General features: G+C 47.0%; 1 protein-coding gene across 4 annotated transcripts in view; it reads left to right on the top strand.

The window, feature by feature from the left end:
• The window catches only part of MASP1 (MBL associated serine protease 1), a 74,456-nt gene that overhangs the window by 40,725 nt on the left and 12,153 nt on the right, over positions 1-21,578 (top strand). For 2 of the 4 annotated variants that reach the window (NR_033519.2, NM_139125.4), the window contains 4 exons: positions 684-762; positions 7,392-7,529; positions 9,458-9,532; positions 14,446-16,931. Coding sequence is in view for 3 of the 4 variants with exons in the window: in NM_139125.4 (NP_624302.1) it covers positions 684-762; positions 7,392-7,529; positions 9,458-9,532; positions 14,446-15,329 (1,176 nt within the window). In the remaining variant the exon portion in view is untranslated. Of the gene's footprint in view, positions 1-683; positions 763-3,627; positions 4,654-7,391; positions 7,530-9,457; positions 9,533-14,445; positions 16,932-21,115; positions 21,254-21,578 lie in introns of those variants that run through there. The other 2 variants (NM_001879.6, NM_001031849.3) reach the window with 2 other exon arrangements.

The following is a 21,578-nucleotide window of genomic DNA, read 5'->3' as shown; positions in this document are numbered from 1 at the left end:
CACTCCAGCCTGGGTGACAAGAGCAAAACTCCATCTCAAAAAATAAAAAAAGGAACAGATGGGTTCCCCTCACTCTCCCACCCCCAGAAGCAGTAGTTCTAGGAATCACATGGTTCGCTTTAAAAAAATCACCTCCCAGCTCTCACTTGAGATCAGTTAAAGCAGACTTTTTGGGGCTGGGACCAGTGATTGGTGCAGCCAAGCTAGAGGACCATCGCTTTCAAGGAATGGTTCTCAAAGAGGGGTGTTCAGTTTCAGCATCACCGGGAACTTGTTAGAAATGCAAATGCTTGGGTAGGCCAGCCTCACTGAATCAGAAACTCTGGGGGAGAAGCCCAGCAGCCTATGTTTTAACAAGCTCTCTAGGAGATGCTGACCGCTTGCCCTGGTTTGAGAAGCACTGCTCTGAAAAAGGAGTCAATGCTTACCGTTTTCCCTTCAGAGATAGTTGCCCAAACCCCTTCTTGCACACAGCCCTTGCCCCTCTCCAGAGTATGAAAAGGAGGTATGAATTCAGCATGTATCTTTCCCCTACCTTCAAGCTCACCCTTGGAAGCCCATGGGTGGAAAATCTCAGTCGAGATCAAGACACGTGTGGAGCTTGAGTTGGTTTTGCTAGGAAAAAACCCCTGACACCACCCCCACCTCCTTCTTCCCACTCCCTTCTTCCTGTCTCTTCCCAGGATAATGTGGAGATGGACACATTCCAGATTGAGTGTCTGAAGGATGGGACGTGGAGTAACAAGATTCCCACCTGTAAAAGTAAGAAAGCCTAATGGGTTGTTATAAAGATACTGAGCTCCCCAGCACTGGCGGGATCCGAGCAGAGCATGCAAGGGTGAAAGCTTGGCAGGAGCACTCTAAGGGGGATGGGAGCAGGAATTTAACAGACACACAAGGGTTGGGAAAAAAAAGAGTATCAGTGCCCCTTTTGGCAATAAGATGTTTGAATCCCAAAAGAAACTTCTTGTGGGCCCAGTACTTTGTTAAATACCAATTTTACTTCAGCCCACGGATGGGTTGCCAGACTTACTAAAGGAATAGCACGTGTCCAGGTTCAAAACCAGCTTTGGCAATTGCTAATTCAGGAAACTAGTTTGGTGCTGGTGCCCAGAGCTGAGTGACCTTGCTAGTCTTCACATGGCCATCAGCCATATCCCCTTCATCTTCTGAGACAGCTCATGATTTAGGGCTGTGCAGGAAGGGCTGTGGGATCAGCACAGTGGGCCTGCATGAAGCAGAGGATACAGCTCTTCACTGGCTCCTGGGACCCAGAGTTCTTGCCTTGGCTCTGCCCCTAACCAACTCTGTGACTGTGAATAAGACCCTTCGCCTCAACTATAAAATAAGGAGTTTGGACTAGCTTTATATTTTAGAATATGTGCCAGTGGTTTTAAAATGATATAGTCTATATAAATCATCTACTGAGCTTTGTAAAAATACAGGCTTCCAACCCCTTCACCTCACCACCACCCCCTGCAACCACCCCTCAACACCCAGGTGATTTCAATGAAAGACTTATAAGGACCACAGTTTTAGAAACTTATTATGGCCAACATTGATGAGAGGAGGCACAGTGACAGAAATAGTCAGGGAAGGAAGGGAGAGAGAAGGGAGAATTTGCTTTACAATGGCTTGGTGAGGTCAAGAATTAGAGCCTGGCATGGTGGCTCACGCTGGTAATGCCAGCACTTTGGGAGGCAGAAGCAGGTGGATCACTTGAGTTCCGGAGTCCGAGACCAGCCTGGCCAACATGGTGAAACTCAGTCTCTACTAAAAATACAAAAATTAGCCAGGCATGGTGGCGCACGCCTGTAATCCCAGCTACTCGGGAGGCTGAGGCGGGAGAATTGCTGGAACCCAGGAGGCGGAGATTGCAGTGAGCCGAGATCGTGCCACTGCACTCCAGCCTGGGTGACAGAGCAAGACTCCATCTCAAAAAAGAAAAAACAAACAAACAAACAAAAACGAATTAGAGTTGGTCCCACCCATCTTCCTTTCATGAATTTTCATGCAAACTGGAGCGCTATCCTCTTCCCTTTCTCCTACATGGCCTTGATTCAGCAGGCAGACAAATCTCCTGCCATTGTCCCAAGGGGGACATTCCCTTAACGCAAATCCCAGGAAGAACTTTGAAGTAAAATACGATTGTTCTTTTCCTTTTCATATGATGAAATTTTTCCTTTTCATATGATGTAGCTGGAGTCAGAGCCTAGCATGGGGAAGGAGGGGGCATTTTATGACTTTAACAAAATGTTTCAAAAAATGTTGACTGGATGCCTGCACAGAGTTCCATAGGGAAGTCGGACGGAAAAGACAAGGTCCGGGCATGGCGGAACTCAAGTGGTGGTGGCCACAGCCACCACCTCCTCCAATCTGAGGCTCGAGGTGCAGTGCTGTGACTGGGTTCTAAGCAAAGCACTCTGCAGAACAAAGCAAGGGCCATGTTGAAGGAGAAGGTAAAGGAGGATATGGGGTGTCCTGGATAGAATCAGGCTTTGGAATTAGGAAGTTCTAGATACAAATGCAGACTCTACAAGCTGACAGTCCCTCTCAGCTGTAATCAGTGTATTCAGACTCTTTGGCCTCAGTTTCCTGCCCTCAAGATTGCTGTGGGGATTAACTGGGTTAATATACATACCATACCCATGGAGGGCCAGAAACATGCAAAAGATAAACGGACTCCTCCTGCCCCAACCCAATCCCCTCACTAGGAAGTGGTTTCATTTCTCTCATTCACATTTTTGGAAAGTAGGAAACATTAATAATTTTTCCCTGACTTACATTAGCATACAACAGAACACCCTGTCATTTTGTAGTAAAGAGAAACTGTTTCCCTGATATGACCCTATTCTCCCAAAATAGGCTGGATTAAGACTATTAGAATTCCCATTCAGTCATACCCAGCATCTTTGCTCACTCTGTAGGTATTTATTGAGCATCTCTCTGTACGAGGCACTGTGCTAGGTCCTAGGGGAGAGGCAAGGACAGGACTGAGGAGTCGAGAGTCCCCAGGCTTCTGGGGCTTACAAGTTCTATGTTTCTTAAAATTCGCTGATTAAAAATTTTAAAAAGATAGATATCACACCTGAAAGCAGTGGCCCCAGCTCTGTGCCATGGGATATCACAGGTCCTAAACAGTGATAGAGAAAGGGCTGGGGAGTGGCAGCTGGAATCTCTGCTTCCAGACAAGAGGGGTGCACTCTGTGGTAAAGAAACGTGCACTAGAAAAGAAGCTGGGAATTATGGGTCATTGTTCTGGCCCTGCCTCCACCTTGCTGTGGTGACCCCGGGACAAGCCCTGTTCTACTCTAAATGCTGTCAAGTGAGGGTTTGGACCAGATGCAGGCAAAGCTCCCTCCAGGGGCAGAATTTTATAATCCTCATGAGCCAGGATGTATGACTCTGCAAATTCTCAGAACGATACAAATTCCACAATCCCAAACTGTTCTTCACACTGGCTGTACCTAAACTATGCATTCTTAATCAATTCTGGTGGAGTAATTTCTGTATTTCCTGCATAAACTGTTTCTGCTTTGCTTGCTAATCTCTCTCTCTTTCTCTTCCTCTCTCTGCTTCCTTCCTCTGTATCTCTTGATCCCTCTTTGATCTTCACCATGGTGGCAGAAAATGAAATCGATCTGGAGAGCGAACTCAAGTCAGAGCAAGTGACAGAGTGAATGACGGGACCCCACACAATGCAGACATCCAGAAATGGATCACTCCCAAGACCCCTGGGGCCCAGAGCTGCACCACCCCTCCCCACCCACAACACCCCCGTGCCCCTTTCCATGTGGATTAGAATGGGTGCTGAACAACATGATCTCAGCAGTTGAAGCTGCTACGTGTGTGAAAGCAAATTCTCCACTTGAGGGTTTGCCCATCATTCAAACACTATTCCAGAAAATAATGAAAAAAAAATGTGGGATTTATTTTAGCACCTCTGAGTGGACTGTACTTTTCTCAACGGAAAAAAAAAATGCCCTTGGTCCTTGAGACAAAAGATTTAATATACAACCATGTGGCCTCAGGCTGACCAGATCAAAGTGGTTTCTAATCCATTCTACATGTCAAGTTTAAATGAACCAGACTGCCTGTGACTTTATGAATCTGAAGGTATTACCTGTTGCTGCTTTCTTAACCACCATGAGTAGGTAAAGCAAATAATAACTCACAGAGTGTGGATTTTTGAGAATCTGAATGTTTTCTCATTCACAAAAGTATCCCTTCTACCCCTATCTGGCGCAGGGCTGAAATGTCATCATTAGAGGTTCTGTCTTCTGGGGCTTACAAGTTCTATGTTTCTTAAAATTCGCTGATTAAAAATTTTAAAAAGATAGGATCACACCTGAAAGCAGTGGTCCCAGCTCTGTGCTGTGGGACATCACAGGTCCTAAACAGTGATAGAGAAAGGGCTGGGGAGTGGCAGCTGGAATCTCTGCTTCCGTCTGAACATCTGGACACACATGTCAGAGAATCTTTGCATTAAATGGACTGCCCGATCTATTTGGTGATTAAATGGCTGTGCGGTGAGGGGAGAACCCTGGGCAGTCTGGAGACTGAGGTGCCATTCTCGGCTAGAGACACCACCCAAAGAAGAGATGGGCTGGCTACTAAAGACAAGTGTCAGTTGAATAAATGTCTTTAAACCTACAACGTATTAACAGCATTCATACTCAGTGACATACAGGGCATCAGAATTTAAGAGGAAGATTTGATATGTACCCAAATAATTGTAATAGCTTTGATGCAGACAACATTAGATATATTCCATCAAAGAAACATGAGTGAAGAGTTCCAGAACAAGGAAGCAGCCCTGCCCAGTTAGAATTAGAAAGGCTTTCAAGAAGAAGGAGTGTTTCATCAGGACTTCAGGGTGGCCAGAGCATGGACACAGGGTGCCCCGTGCAGCAGGGATGGCACCAGAGAGGCCTGGGAGCAGGAGGCAGCAGGGGAGCACACTGAAGGAGCTGGTGTTCGGAGGGTGGGTGCACCAAGGGGAGGAAAGAAGATGAGGCCAGGGAGGGGGCTAGAGCCCAAACCCCCAGGCCTGAGTGCCAGGGTTAGCTGATTGCACATCGTTCTCTAGAAAGCCCCCCAGTACAGCAAAGCACACTTGGAACTGTAGGTCAAGAAATGTGTGTCTGGAGAAAAATAAGTGGCAACAAGAAATTACCATGGAGATAGGGTGTTGGGCGGTACCTCCAAGGCAAGGGGAAAGAGAAGGGTGTTTTGATTCCAGAGTGCGGAACTGGCCAGACAGGACTTTAGAGAAAAGGATAAAACCCTTCCTAAAGCAAAGAGCATAAGTCAACGGAGGAAGCAGGGTCTAGTGTGTGCTGATTGTGCCAGACAGAGCTGCTCAAGGCCTCTTGTGAGGGGTTAAGTCACTTCCATGTCCCAGAGAAACATGGCTTTTTCCCTGCCACTGTGGACTTGGGAAGAAAGTACGCCCCTCCACACTGCCAAGACCCTCTACCTTCCACTATTTATCACCCCCTCTACCTAGTTGTAGGGCCAGCTGTATCAGTGGGCAAAGTTACTTCTCTGAAGTGATGTGAAAGTAGGTCCTCCACCCAGAAAATATCTATCCGCCAGCATCAGCCACATAACAGGCTCCCAGGGGCCCGTCCATCTAGCCACACTAAAGCCAACCCTGGAATTCCTGAACTGGGCGGTCAGGTGGACCAAAGTTAAGGGAGATGAGTGATACCAATACCTAGGCACCAAGTCAATGGCATTTTCTGAAAAAGGAGGAAAAATCGGCTTTAACAGAAAATAAATTTAAAACTGTTCATAGTATTTAAATAATAAATATTATTGCCTCATTATCCTAGTGTTGAGCTGCACACATTTACCTCACAAAGTAGAAGAGCATCTGTACTTTTGGATCATCAAAACAAATGGAGATGATTTGTCCAGGGTGATTGGACTAGAGGCCAGGACAAAACCAGTTGTCTTGATTGGCCTTCTTAGTGGATAAGAAGTACCTATATTTACTCCCCTCCTTCATCTTTTCCTCCAACCCGGAGGGACTTGAAATTATTTGCATTTTGAGTGGACTCTCTAGCTAATCAAAAAGATGAATTTGGAGTCCTAAAGTTAAAATCACAATGTCTAAATGGCACTCAGGGATAAATTATATCTCACTGTTTCCCAAAATGACCAGGTAAAATTCAGGAGGACATGGAACTTTGGAAATTTTACCAGGGCTCTGGAAATTCTGACAGTTGATGTCCACCATTGGCCAGCTAGTACCTAGAATAGGCCATTTAACTGGAAAACAGATCCTTAAGAACCACTAGTTCCATTTACTAAAACAGCCCTGGGTTTGAGGTCAAATCTTGCTCTCATTCTGATAGTAACTTGCTGTATGTCCTTAGACGAGTCAAGTCTCCTCTCTGGGCTCATAGATAAAATAAAGAGGACATTCTAGATTGCCTACTTCAGGTTTCTTTCCAGCTGTGACATTCTATGATTCATCTATGATTCTTCGACTCTGGCATAGGCTGTTATACCTAAGATTAGGATTTCCTTAAGAATGAAAAGATTGACAAATTTGGGTCCAGAGCCTCTGATATGGCCATGAAAAGATGCCCTGACTCTCAGCTGACTCACACTGGGCTCCATCAGTGCTGACAACTCCCCTAAGACTGAGCTGGACTGGAAAGCTCCCCAAAGACCACCTCTGAGGAGCAGGCATCTTTATTCATGTCCTGTACTGGGAATTATGGCTCAAACATGCGGCCATCAACAATTATAGAAAATGAACAGGGGAAGACTGAAAGCTGATCCACCTCCAACCCTGCCTCCTGGCTTCTATGGCCAAGCAAGCTGCCTGTAGAGAGGCAGCAGGGTGGGGCTGTGTACTCATACAGGAGCTGGGTTTTTTTATTTTTTGTGCCAAACTCCAATGTGAGCACATTAGCTGCTGTTACTCAGCCTAGGATTGGGACTAGAAGAACAAAAGATTATTTAGTTTATGTCAGCTAGAGTTTTCTCACTAAGCCAAGGGCTTCATTCTTGGGCAGAAGAGGCAGAGAGGATTGCACAATAAAACTAGAAGTAAAAGAAAGAGGCCCTGGTGGGTAAAAGACTGGAGTCTGCTTAAACCTCAGTAGACCTTCCCCTACCCAAAATTGACACTGGGCAGGTGAGTTGACCACACAGTAGTACCATAATGAATGGAAGAGACCTCAAAAGCAGGACCATGGGTAGCTTCACAGGCTGTACACTGCACACCCCAGGGGTGCCCTTCAGAGGCATTATAACATTGCTTTCTGGAATTGTGTGCAGTGCACAACCTGTACATCTGCATGAGATAGATCCATCAGATAGCCAAAGGAGGATGAGCAAAAGGCAGTTGAGGGGTCTCACTTCTTCTCTCTCAGTTGTAGACTGTAGAGCCCCAGGAGAGCTGGAACACGGGCTGATCACCTTCTCTACAAGGAACAACCTCACCACATACAAGTCTGAGATCAAATACTCCTGTCAGGAGCCCTATTACAAGATGCTCAACAATAACACAGGTAAGCCATCCATGCTAAGCCATCCCACTCCCGTTTCACACTCTCGGGGCCTCAGGGTTGGACTGGGGGCCGAGACAGCTGTGAAAGGAAGAACTGCTCATAAGTGTGTAGAGCCTGATAATGCAAAACGTGTCACTCACACATCTCAGGTTCTCACTTTTCATGAGCTTGTGTTACTGTGTCCATGTGGAGATGCAGAAACAGTCTCAAAACCAAAAAGCAGGCTTTTTTGTTTTTAACTTTAAAGCTAGCACTGATTTACTAATGAGTTGTTGGTGGGAGCGTGAAGGAGTCACACACTGACACAACTAAGAGAAGAAACGAGACCCTAAAGGAAGCCTGGAATCCCCCAAGTTAAACTCCTTCATGTGGTCTGAGGCTGAGTTGGGGTTTCCAAAAAAAGGCCAGTATTACTGCTTCACCCAGACTCTGCCTTGGCTTCTGGGTGAGGGCAACATCTCACCAGGCCAGACCCATTCAGCAGGTAAGGGACCTTCCTTCAAAGACCTCTTCCCCTGGTACGGACAGGGGTCCAGGCAGGGTTGGGGAGCGAGGAGTGGATCCTCTGTCTCCCCAGGTAGCCCAGCATATCCCCTGACCACAGCTCAAGCACAGCCACAGCAGTCCCTGTCCAGGCCCCATCCATGCCACCTGGCAGAGACCCCTGGCTGCCCCAGGGGCTGGGCAGCAGCACACTGGCCAGAGGGTGAAGGACCAGCAATAACCTGACCATTGGCCACACTGGGGGTTTGGGAGGAACTGGGAGGAGAAATGCTTAGAGACATAACCCGCCTCTCCCTGCCTTGTGGCAGCCCAACACCCGCTCACATGCACTCATAGTCCCTAGCAGAAAAGGAACTCTCAGGGAGAAAGGAGGGCCCATCGGCTCTGCCTCTCTGGCATGCAAGCACTGAGAACATTCTCCTGACTCATCTAAGCCTCCAACTCCTCTTTGTTTTTGTTTTTGTTTTTGAGACAGGGTCTCACTCTGTCACCCAGGCTGGAGTGCAGTGGTGTGATGTCGGCTCACTGCAACCTCCACGTCCTGGGTTCAAGCAATTCTCTCGCCTCAGCCTCCCAAGCAGCTGTGATTACAGAAGCTTGCCACCATGCCCAGCTAATTTTTGTATTTTTAGTAGAGACCCGCTTTTGCCATGTTGGTCAGGCTGGTCTCAAACTCCTGACCTCAAGTGATCCGCCCGCCTCGGCCTCCCAAAGTGCTGGGATTACAAGCGTGAGCCACTGCACCTGGCCCCAAGTCCTCATTTTTAAAAGAGGGAAGAGTTACAAAGCTCTTAGAGCTATTTCAAAATGCCAGTGAGATGGTGGCCACAAATGTATGCTTATTAAAGAGTCTGTCAAATGGAGAAGAAAGGAAAGGGCATCTGTGCAACAGGGAGCCATGTGAGCCCAGGTCTTTGTGACAAGTGAGGCGGAGGTGCCTTCCAGGACCTGGGCAGCGTGGGGTGGGGAGGGGAGCAGCCCTCAGCCAGGCAGGAGTGGGATTCCCCAGAGCTTTGGACAGACACCATGCTGAAGAGTGTGGTGTTTATTTTTGGGGGTGACAGCAAGCCATTCGTGATTCTGAGCTGAGAAAGGACATGGTCACATTCCCATTTTAGAAAGATCCTTCATGTTGCAAAGGGAGTTTGATAGAAGGACTAGGATGGTAGCCCTGTGGGTATTTGAAGATATTTGGAGGTTAATTGGTCCCTTTGGAGGATTGTATCCCAGAGAGTACCTGCCACATTCTTCCTCATTCTTCTTAGTACATCTAGGCTCAGAGACAATCGTATCTGAGCCTAGATGACCATTTGGAGGACTTTGTAATAACTCACTTTAGAGAAATTAAATACCCAGATCTATTTTCCATGTGTTACAAATCAACCATTTTCTCCCTCCTCTCCTAACCTCTTTCACTAATCCAGGTATATATACCTGTTCTGCCCAAGGAGTCTGGATGAATAAAGTATTGGGGAGAAGCCTACCCACCTGCCTTCCAGGTACCTCACCCTCCAAATCCTTTGCCTCACAGTTTTCCATCCAAGGCCCTAGGACCCCAGGTTTTCTGGCTGTTAACAGGGTGATGGGGGACAGGGGAGGTGATGCTTTGGTTGCTTTTTAAGAGATGTCTTCAAAAGGTTAAAGGTCAGAGAAGACTTGCTTCACACCTTCTCAAACCAGCCTGTATTTTCTGCCTGCTCCATCACTCTGAGAGCCCTCCTGTCCCGTCTCTGTGCCCTTGCCACAAGATTTTTCATATAACACAGTTTGCATGTGCATCTGCTGTTGTGCCGGGGAAATTTAAAAAGTGGGCACCCTGTCCTCAAGCACTCACCATGCTATCAAGGAGATGATAACACAAACAACATCATGATAAGACAGAGTGACAAATTCTTTCTTCCAAACAGCAACGTAGTCAAGCCTTTCCGATTCCCATGGTTTACTTACTGACTCCACTTTAAAATGGAAAGAAAATTTTGTGGTAACAGGAAGTGTTACTGTGCATACAGATTTTGAGGATATTTGCTTTAGCATTAAAAGTATAGGCCAAGCGTGGTGGCTCATGCCTGTAATCTCAACACTTTGGGAGGCCAAGGCGGGTGGATCATCTGAAGTCAGGAGTTCAAGACCAGCCTGGTCAACACAGTGGAACCCCATCTATACTAAAAATAGAAAAAAAAATTAGCCAGTCGTGGTGGTGTGCATCTGTAATCCCAGCTACTCAGGAGGCTGAGAGAGGAGAATTGCTTGAACCCAGGGGGCAGAGGCTACAGTGAGCTGAGATTGCACCATTGCACTCCAGCCTGGGTGCCAGAGCTAGACTCTGTCTTGAAAAATAAATAAATAAATAGTATGGGTGATTTGCATTGCAATCACATGTATAGCTATTCAAGTCAACTTAGAAAAGTGTAGCCCCAAAATGCACACTCTACGGTTAAACAAATAATCCACAAAAAGTTAAATTTAATATTCACAACATAGTAATTTACATTTTTTTTAAAAAAAAGCAAGAATGGCAGTAGTTTAATGATACAATCACTCAAGACAGCATTGAGGAATACTGAAAATTAAATGCCTTGTCTAATTCCATCTGCATGTTTGCACAAACAGCAGGAAATTTGCAATATGGTTAAGCATTGGGTGATATTTGTATTTTGCTGAATGAGAGTGTTGGGTAAACTGACATAGTGTATTATATTAATGGTACATTTCAGTAACCCTACAGTATACAGTATAAAGAAGGTATACTAGTACACGGTTGGTATATTAGTCTGTTCTCACACTGCTGATAAAGACATAACCCAAGACTGGGTAATTTACACAGAAAAAGAGGTTATAGGATTCACAGTTCCACATGGCTGGAGGGGCCTCACAATCATGGCGGAAGGTGAAAGGCACATCTTACACGGTGGCAGGCAAGAGAGAAATGAGACATAGCCAGTTTGGGACATAGCCAAACCATATCAGGAGGTTTCTAGATATCAGATTAGACACTAAAATGGAAAGGCTATGGAGTTGTCTACCATTCATCCTTAAGAAGCGAAGAACATGTTAGCATTTGGGAGTCAGGTTTTGACCATCACAGGTGCTATGGGATCCCAGAGAAGAAGGAAGTAACAATGCCTGGTTGTCTATGAATGAAGGGGTAAGAACTGACTAGGAAGGGTTCACATAAGAGGTCTTTATTTCTGAGAAAAACTTATGAGGATGTGGAATAAGGGAATGTTCATCCCACCCATTCCGCTGATTCCATTTACCTCAATTAGGCTTGCCCAGAAGTACAACCAAGGACTCCAGGCAGTGAAGCCTCAGAGAAGAGAGGAATGGCGGAGCTGTAGAGGAATGGTGGGGCTGTAGCAAACCAGAGGATCTAATCCCCATTTGGCTAAAAGACCATGTGAGCAAAAAAAAGCTAGGGATAGATTCCATGCTAGAAAGCCATGTGGCCACCTCTGGAAGGGGAAGAAGCCCTGGGCAAGGAGTCAAGGCCCTAGGTACTAATACTGATGCTGCCATTTCCTAACTGTGATCTTTGGTAAGTATTTTCATATCTCTGGGTCTGGGATCCCATACCTCAGAAGTAAAGCATCAGAACCAAGAGACCTATGATATTCTGACCTTTTTTTTGAGACAGAGTTTCGCTCTTGTTGCCCAGGCTGCGTGCAATGGTGCGATCTCAGCTCACTGCAATCTCTGCCTCCTGGGTTCAAGCAATTCTCTTGCCTCAGCCTCTCGAGTAGTTGGGATTATAGGCATGCACCACCATGCCTGACTTTTTTTTTTTTTTTTTTTAATTTTTAGTAGAGACGGGGTTTCTCTATGTTGGTCAGGCTGGTCTCGAACTCCCCACCTCAGGTGATCCGCCCACCTCAGCTTCCCAAAGTGCTGGGATTACAGGCATGAGCCATGCACCCAGCTATTCTATGACTTTTAATGGTCATCATCCTCTATGTTTGTACAAAGCATCTTGGATACAATGAGTCATGACATTCTTTTAACACCCAGTGTTGGGCAGAACCATGGTGTATCATTGGACTAGGCCAGAAATTTGTAAATTCTCTCTTCGCAAAACACTGTGATTGAACCAGGATGCAGGCCAGGATGGAGAAGGCCATCTCATCTATTGTCAAAAGGCCCACCATTTCAGGGGTCCTGCTAAGCAAATATTACTTGCCCTTTTATTTTATAAATGAGAAAACTATCAGAATAGTGTAGTGATTTGCACAAGGCTACTTGTAGAAAGTCAGGGGCAGAACTGAAAGGTGAACTCAATACTTTTGATGGCAACATAAGCAATGCCGAGCCATTTTTTTACCATGATCATGTTTTATGCCATCCTCAGGAACCTTGAATCCTAGAGTATCACATTTTTTTAAAGACCCTCCCTCAGTAACCACTGTCCTCTAGAACCCAAATCTGGCTTCAGCATAGCCAAAGCTATAACATTTCAAGAAGATCCCTTTCTCCCAGGAAAGACTGGGTGGGGAATGGCAGCAGCCAATAAGAATGACCCCATTTCAATGAGCTCTCCCAAGAGCTTGTTGAATCATTCAGCCTCTTAAAAGGACAAGAACACATCAAGGAGAAAAACAGATTTCAGTGGAGATATGAAGCTAGACTCAGGATAAATAGGTTCGAGTTCTGGCTTTCCCATTAACAACCTTGAGTAAGTCACTTGCCTTCTCTGAACTTCCATGTTTCCATCTGTAAATTAGCTGTTCTCCAAGGTCTCTCCAGATCTGATCTGTGACCTGCAGTGTGCCACTGGCACCTTGGTTGGAGAAAGGTAGCGTTTAATGCTGGCTTTGTTGTGACCATGGACCAAGCCATAGACGTGTCCCTTACCAGATTAGGGCCTTGAAGCACTAAATATATGTAGGACCAGTCACAGAGCTGCATTGAGATGTTGCCTTGCAGCTTGCTACTTGTAATTGGAAGGCTGACCCTCAACTTTGAAAGGCCAGGCCACAGAGAGTTACAAAGACCAGTTCACATCTGGCCTGGGGTGAATGGCAGGGTGCCCCAGGATCAAGCAAGAAGCATCTGGCCTCAGGAAGAAGAGCATCTGAAAAGCATTAGGTTGCTAAAAGCCTGCTCTCCCAAAGTTGCCAAGAAAACTCAAATGTTCCATGATGTCTAAAGGATTGTCAAAAGCACCCAGGCCAAGGAGTGTAGCCTGGCCATTTGGAACCAGGAGGAGGCCCACACTCATAGTAGGTCTACCTCCAAGACCCAAGCACCCTGCCTGGGAAGGGCCATGCAAGCATGTTCTTAGCCAGCGGGGGCCTGGTGCCGAAGACCTTCTGCTCATTGGCCAGAGGCATTTGGCTACAGGAGGCTGGTGGTGCATGTGCATGCTCAGGGTGCAACTCAGTGGAACGAAGTTTGCTCAGATCTTTCTCCTTCCCCTAAAGGTACTACACAGCTCCTGGGTGCAATGATGGGTGGCCCAGAGTAGGGTCCATGCATCATTGCTTATAGATTATGCCACCTTTCCCCAACCCTGGATGCCCTGGGGCTTAATCCATGGGCATCAATTTATAGCAAGATTCTGTTAGGACAGAGAAGAAAAGGTTTGAGGGCCTATGCCCATGGTCTTAATATCTGTTAAGTCCGTGTGGGATACAAGACTTAGAATCTAGTTAAGCTTCTGCTATCTGACTTAAGAGTCATATCCTTTTGGGCTAGTCACTTAAACTCAGGAGGTTTACTCACCTAGAAAATGGTGATGGCCAAGGCAAATAAAATGAAAATTAAAGGATCTCTGGAATTTGAAGGATCCCTGGAGATCATTGTGACCAAATGCCTCATTTGGCAGATCAAAAATTGAAATCCAGAGAGGGATATTTGCTGACTCAGAGTTACATGGGAAATGGAAGAGAAAAGCCAGGCCAAGGCTTCCAGCATCTTTGTTCCCAGTCTAGCGTTTGCTGTGACCTGCTAGATGGTTTTTTAGGTTCCTTCCATCTCTCTGTCCCCATGGACAGAAAACTTTCAGAAGTATTCTAGGTTCCCATAGCATGGACCACTTCTGAAATAAGACCTGCCTTTCTAGAGAAGGAAGGGGAGAAGTGACCACTACTGGAAATAGATGGCTGTAAATGGTCTGGGTCACAAGTGGTCTTAGCCAGAGGTGGTTCAGGGTAGAGAAAGCCCAAGCACAGAGTGGTCCAGTCCAGAGACAGTCCCAGCTACAGAAAAGCCAGACTAGAGATGGGCCAGCCTAGAGAGACTTAGACCCAAAATGACCCTGAGTAGAGCTCTCCCAGGCTAGCATGACCCAGGCAGGTTAGGGTCCCATGGTGGCATAATCTATAGTGGGTGAAATGTGAATTTATCTTTGTGGCTCCTGTCACATGGCTGACCTGACCAGTCTCTGTCTCTTGTCCCTGCTCCCTCTTTCTCCTTACAGAGTGTGGTCAGCCCTCCCGCTCCCTGCCAAGCCTGGTCAAGAGGATCATTGGGGGCCGAAATGCTGAGCCTGGCCTCTTCCCGTGGCAGGCCCTGATAGTGGTGGAGGACACTTCGAGAGTGCCAAATGACAAGTGGTTTGGGAGTGGGGCCCTGCTCTCTGCGTCCTGGATCCTCACAGCAGCTCATGTGCTGCGCTCCCAGCGTAGAGACACCACGGTGATACCAGTCTCCAAGGAGCATGTCACCGTCTACCTGGGCTTGCATGATGTGCGAGACAAATCGGGGGCAGTCAACAGCTCAGCTGCCCGAGTGGTGCTCCACCCAGACTTCAACATCCAAAACTACAACCACGATATAGCTCTGGTGCAGCTGCAGGAGCCTGTGCCCCTGGGACCCCACGTTATGCCTGTCTGCCTGCCAAGGCTTGAGCCTGAAGGCCCGGCCCCCCACATGCTGGGCCTGGTGGCCGGCTGGGGCATCTCCAATCCCAATGTGACAGTGGATGAGATCATCAGCAGTGGCACACGGACCTTGTCAGATGTCCTGCAGTATGTCAAGTTACCCGTGGTGCCTCACGCTGAGTGCAAAACTAGCTATGAGTCCCGCTCGGGCAATTACAGCGTCACGGAGAACATGTTCTGTGCTGGCTACTACGAGGGCGGCAAAGACACGTGCCTTGGAGATAGCGGTGGGGCCTTTGTCATCTTTGATGACTTGAGCCAGCGCTGGGTGGTGCAAGGCCTGGTGTCCTGGGGGGGACCTGAAGAATGCGGCAGCAAGCAGGTCTATGGAGTCTACACAAAGGTCTCCAATTACGTGGACTGGGTGTGGGAGCAGATGGGCTTACCACAAAGTGTTGTGGAGCCCCAGGTGGAACGGTGAGCTGACTTACTTCCTCGGGGCCTGCCTCCCCTGAGCGAAGCTACACCGCACTTCCGACAGCACACTCCACATTACTTATCAGACCATATGGAATGGAACACACTGACCTAGCGGTGGCTTCTCCTACCGAGACAGCCCCCAGGACCCTGAGAGGCAGAGTGTGGTATAGGGAAAAGGCTCCAGGCAGGAGACCTGTGTTCCTGAGCTTGTCCAAGTCTCTTTCCCTGTCTGGGCCTCACTCTACCGAGTAATACAATGCAGGAGCTCAACCAAGGCCTCTGTGCCAATCCCAGCACTCCTTTCCAGGCCATGCTTCTTACCCCAGTGGCCTTTATTCACTCCTGACCACTTATCAAACCCATCGGTCCTACTGTTGGTATAACTGAGCTTGGACCTGACTATTAGAAAATGGTTTCTAACATTGAACTGAATGCCGCATCTGTATATTTTCCTGCTCTGCCTTCTGGGACTAGCCTTGGCCTAATCCTTCCTCTAGGAGAAGAGCATTCAGGTTTTGGGAGATGGCTCATAGCCAAGCCCCTCTCTCTTAGTGTGATCCCTTGGAGCACCTTCATGCCTGGGGTTTCTCTCCCAAAAGCTTCTTGCAGTCTAAGCCTTATCCCTTATGTTCCCCATTAAAGGAATTTCAAAAGACATGGAGAAAGTTGGGAAGGTTTGTGCTGACTGCTGGGAGCAGAATAGCCGTGGGAGGCCCACCAAGCCCTTAAATTCCCATTGTCAACTCAGAACACATTTGGGCCCATATGCCACCCTGGAACACCAGCTGACACCATGGGCGTCCACACCTGCTGCTCCAGACAAGCACAAAGCAATCTTTCAGCCTTGAAATGTATTATCTGAAAGGCTACCTGAAGCCCAGGCCCGAATATGGGGACTTAGTCGATTACCTGGAAAAAGAAAAGACCCACACTGTGTCCTGCTGTGCTTTTGGGCAGGAAAATGGAAGAAAGAGTGGGGTGGGCACATTAGAAGTCACCCAAATCCTGCCAGGCTGCCTGGCATCCCTGGGGCATGAGCTGGGCGGAGAATCCACCCCGCAGGATGTTCAGAGGGACCCACTCCTTCATTTTTCAGAGTCAAAGGAATCAGAGGCTCACCCATGGCAGGCAGTGAAAAGAGCCAGGAGTCCTGGGTTCTAGTCCCTGCTCTGCCCCCAACTGGCTGTATAACCTTTGAAAAATCATTTTCTTTGTCTGAGTCTCTGGTTCTCCGTCAGCAACAGGCTGGCATAAGGTCCCCTGCAGGTTCCTTCTAGCTGGAGCACTCAGAGCTTCCCTGACTGCTAGCAGCCTCTCTGGCCCTCACAGGGCTGATTGTTCTCCTTCTCCCTGGAGCTCTCTCTCCTGAAAATCTCCATCAGAGCAAGGCAGCCAGAGAAGCCCCTGAGAGGGAATGATTGGGAAGTGTCCACTTTCTCAACCGGCTCATCAAACACACTCCTTTGTCTATGAATGGCACATGTAAATGATGTTATATTTTGTATCTTTTATATCATATGCTTCACCATTCTGTAAAGGGCCTCTGCATTGTTGCTCCCATCAGGGGTCTCAAGTGGAAATAAACCCTCGTGGATAACCAACAGCCTTGGCTTATGGGTTTTGTTATTGTTGGGGAAGTGTGTTCATTTGTTTTAACTTTTTTGAAAAGAAATTGGTCTCCTCATTAAACCAAAATCTCCCTTGTTGCAGAAAAAGTACAACTTTTGGTATCTGGACATTATCCAAGAGGTAATGAGGAAAGGATTTGGTTATTGATCTGTCTCCTTCTCAGAGGCTACTTGTTCCTTCATTTAAGTGCCTGCCATTTAAGTCCTTGTCTTCAAAGGACTTGAGCCTGAAGGCCCAACCCCCCACACGCTGGGCCTGGTGACTGGCTAGGGCATCTCTAGTCCCAATGTGACATTGGACGAGATCATCAGCAGTGGCACATGGACCTTGTCAGATGCCCTGCAGTATGTCAAGTTACCCGTGGTGCCACACGCTGAGAGCAAAACCAGCTATGAATCCTGCTAAGGCAACTACAGCATCATGGAGAACATGTTCTGTGCCAGCTAGTTTCTAGTACCAGTTTCAAAGTGTTGAAACTGGCATGCAAGACAAGCTTATGTGCATGTAGGTCTTATATAGGCAAAAGGAGTTAAATGTAAAAGGAACAGAGATTTAAGTACTATAGGAACTTAAAGAAGGGGCTATATCATACAGCTGGAGGGGCTTGGAATAGCTTTGCAGAGGCTTCAAAGGATGTGTGGGAGATAGGAGGGAAGGGGCAGAGTGGAAAAAAGCATGAAAGCTGGCCATGGTTAAAGTGAGAGCAGTGGGCATTGAGTGGGAAGAGTTTTAAAGGGCATGCTCTATTTGAACTGTCCTGAAACGAGTGATTCTCTAAGTTTGGGGTATATGAGAATCACTTGGGGTGCTGGTGAAAAATGCAGATGGCTGGGTCTCACCCACTGGAAAATTTGAATTCAGTATGTCTGAGGGTGGGCAGCATGGTGTGGAAAGTGGACAGGAAGGGGCTGAGCTAGGAAAGCAGTTATGCAACTTCTGCAACTGTCCTGATGAGGGATGGTGCAGACCCACCACCCATAGGGCTGTGACAGTGCAGACAGGAGGAGGGGCAGTTTAAATCGATTTAAGTGGTACATACAGCAGGGCTTGGCCTATAGGCATCTCTTGATAAGTTCAAGCATGAGTGGCACGTGATAGTGAAGTCTCACCATGGGACGCACTCATGGTTCGCCTTTGTTTTTGGTTTGTACCATAATGAAAATGCCATCCTTTTTACACTATTGAGAATGAAAATAAGAGCTTATTTACGCTTTGCACTTTATGGTTTGAAGGACTATCGTGTCTCATGTTCTATTACATTTCCAATTTTTGTTTTTCTTTTGATACTTGGACTTTATGTTGTGACATATTGAGGTACTGAGGTATTGAGGTACTGAGGTACTGAGGTTGTGACATATTGAGGTACATAGAGAGCACTTTGTGACATGGAGTCGGGGAGACACATCACTCTCCTTCTCCTAGGGATTTACCAGCAGCTCAGCGACTGATTGAACATGGGGTTGAAGAAAAGGGAGGCAACAAGGATGTGATTGATTCAGACATTAGCAGACATCTGGAAAAACAAAGGGGAGAAGGTTAGTGAAGGGTGGATACTTGGGCTTGGATTCACTGAGCTGGAAGAGTTTATGAGCAATCCAGCTGGAAATGTAAGTAGGCAGTAAAGAATGGTGAGTTTTAGAGGACAGGGCAGATTTAAAGACACTGATTTGAAGTTCATCAGCACATGGGTAGTATGATGGCATAGAGGTAGAGGGCATCATCTACGGGAAATTTACAGATAAGAAAAGGATACCAAGGCCTGAAACACCAGCATCATGGAAGGCATGAAGAAAAGAGAGGCCCCAAGGAAAAAAAAAGGGGGGGGGGGGAAGGGATCAGAAACACAGGGAGAAAAGTGCTTCAGAAGCCAAGAGGAGGAGTTGTAAAGAGGGATGAAGTAGTCAACAGCACCCAATGCTGCTAAGAGTCCCAATAAAGGACTCCAGGATGGAAGTTCCCTAAGAGAGGAATCAAGTCTCTATCATCATCCCTGAGGGGTATGCAGGCAGGAGGCTCCATGTGTGAGTTTCAAGTCTCTAGGACTTCTCTCTTCCTTTGTCCTCTCTCTCTCGGTCCTCTCTCTGTACTCCCTCCTTCCTCTCTCTCCAGCCTTCTCAGTCTCCCAGGATGGGCTTTTAGCTCTTTTCTCAGAGGTAGGAAACTGCCCATGCATCTTCCCTAAGCCTTATGGTAAAAATTACATGTTCAGTTCTCCATGTTTTGGTTCCTTGAAACCTACAAATTTTTTATTCTTACTATGAAGCCTGACTCTTCAAAATGAAAGTCCGTCTTACCAGACTTTGGTTTCTGCTTTGCTCTTTCAAGTCAAAGCTTTATCCAGCCTTTGCTTAAAACCGTGGATGCTCCAGCTTCAATGGCTTGGGAGCCACAGTGCACAGCGAATTCCTAGGGATGCAAAATGTATCTGATAAGATTCAAAAAATAGTATCCTACTCTGTATGTAGATATCATGGTTGGAGTTCCATTTATGGTCTCAGAGACATTTTATTTCCATCTATTTGTAGACCTGTTAAATATTCAAATGGCTGCCTATTTCCAAGTTTGTGCAGTACATGGCACTTTCTTCTTCTGAATCCGGCTCCAAAGGGGGAGGAAGAATGTGGGAAAGGAGTGTCAACTCGTCTTTTCAGAAGCTTTACTATAGAAGGGAGGAGAAGGAGAGACTGTGGAATGAATGGCAAACGGGGAAATGGAAGCTGATTTTTAGGATGAAAAGTCTTGACTGTGTTTTGGAGGCATAGAATAAGGAGAGATGAAAAATACAAGAGAGGGGTGACAGTCTCCAAGGCCAGGTCTCCAAGAGTTCAAAAGTTAAGAGATCCAGAGTGAAAAATTAGTTCTGAAGACAATAAAGTTTATAGGAAGAAGAGATGGTGAGGAGGATGGTTCCCATTCAGTGGGGTTCCCACTCAGGGAGTTCCCACTCATTGGGCTCTGAGCGTCTGTTGGGAATGGAGGCAGGGCATTAGCTTGGGGAAGCTGGCTGTGGGCATGTGGAATGATGCTGGGAGATGCTGAGGCTGCATCAAGGTTGTGGATGCAGAGCATTTATCTGTGATATTCTCCAGCCTGGTGACAGCTACAAAGGTAGCAGGTGACTGCCTGGATCCAGGGGCTTGGGTTATGAGTGTTCTGGGAAGCCACATAATTAAAAGTTTATGGGGCTGGCCAGAGTAAGAAAAGCCCAGAATTGGGAGTCAGGAGACCTAGAACTATAGTCTTGCTACTAACTCATGGAATACCTTTTGGAAGTCAATTTCCTTCTCCAGGCCTTGGTTTCTTTAGCTGAATGATGAAAAGTATAGACCAGATGGTCTCCGAGGGCTATTCAGTTGTAAAGTGTGTATGTGGGAGCGTGTCTGTCAATCCAAGCCAGTGGAAAATGGGATGGAGCAGGCAGACACTGTGGTGGAGGGGATCTTCAACTCCACAAGGCCCTGAGGAAGGGCTTCTCTGAGGAGACAAGATTCATGTGGCTGGAGCATAATGATTCTTTATTAGCTGTGACTCTTTCATTTGTAAGTGACATAAACCAAACATAAGCAGCTTAAGGGGAAAAAAGGGAATTTATAGGCACACATAACTGAAAAGGCTGTACCAAAAGGCTTCACATATAATTAGATCAAAGGGCTCAACTATTAGGGTGCAATCTCTCTGTCTCTTTGTCCCTCAACTTTCAGCTCCACTTTTCTTCATCATTCTCAGCAGACTCTTAATGAAGTGATTGTTGGCAGATCTGGGCTTATGGCTAATAGCTTGGCAATTCCAGTAGGGAATGACTTTCTCTTCTGTAATATGTTTAGCGAAATTCTCAAGTAATGCTTTCATTGGTCCAGCCAAGGTCACATTCCCATCTCTGAGCAATTGCTGTGACCAGAAAGTGCATGGCTTTGATCAGTCACATTCCTATCCCTGAAACCAGAGGTGAGGTCAATCCAACTCTAGCTGCATAGACTAAGAATAAGGAAAGTGCAGCCTCCAAAGAAAGACTGGGATGCTATTATCAGGAAGGTCAATTAATGGTGGAGGAGCAAAAATAATAGATGTTCCTAACAGGGTGAGGAGCTGGGAGCTCTGGCAGTGGGCAAGATGGAGCCCAGAGTCTGATCTGTCTCTCCCTCCCTCCCTTGGATGCAGTGTGTGGGCTCCCCAAGTTCTCCCGGAAGCTGATGGCCAGGATCTTCAATGGACGCCCAGCCCAGAAAGGCACCACTCCCTGGATTGCCATGCTGTCACACCTGAATGGGCAGCCCTTCTGCGGAGGCTCCCTTCTAGGTAGGGAGAAGGTGGAAGGGGTGGAAGCTAAGGAACTGAACCCCCTCCTTGGAGACTGACCAAGGTTTCTTCATTGAGAATCATTGTGCACACTAGCATCAGGGCACAGAAGCACAGTGCGGTAGAAAGAGTTCTCGGCTAGACTGGATCCTGGTCTGTCTCTGGCACCGGGAAGGACAAAGTCAGGGAGTCTCTCAACCATGAATTTAACAGTACATGGAGGTCAAAGACAGGGCATGCCAGGGCTGTGAGTTCAGGGAGAGCCAGGAAACTCACCCTTGGGAATCAGGGAAGGTCGATTTACAAAGACCTTGAATGCTATGCT

Source organism: Homo sapiens, chromosome 3 (assembly GCF_000001405.40).
Source record: "Homo sapiens chromosome 3, GRCh38.p14 Primary Assembly".
Classification (NCBI taxonomy): Eukaryota; Metazoa; Chordata; class Mammalia; order Primates; family Hominidae; genus Homo; species Homo sapiens.
This window is presented reverse-complemented; position numbering and strand designations above follow the sequence as displayed.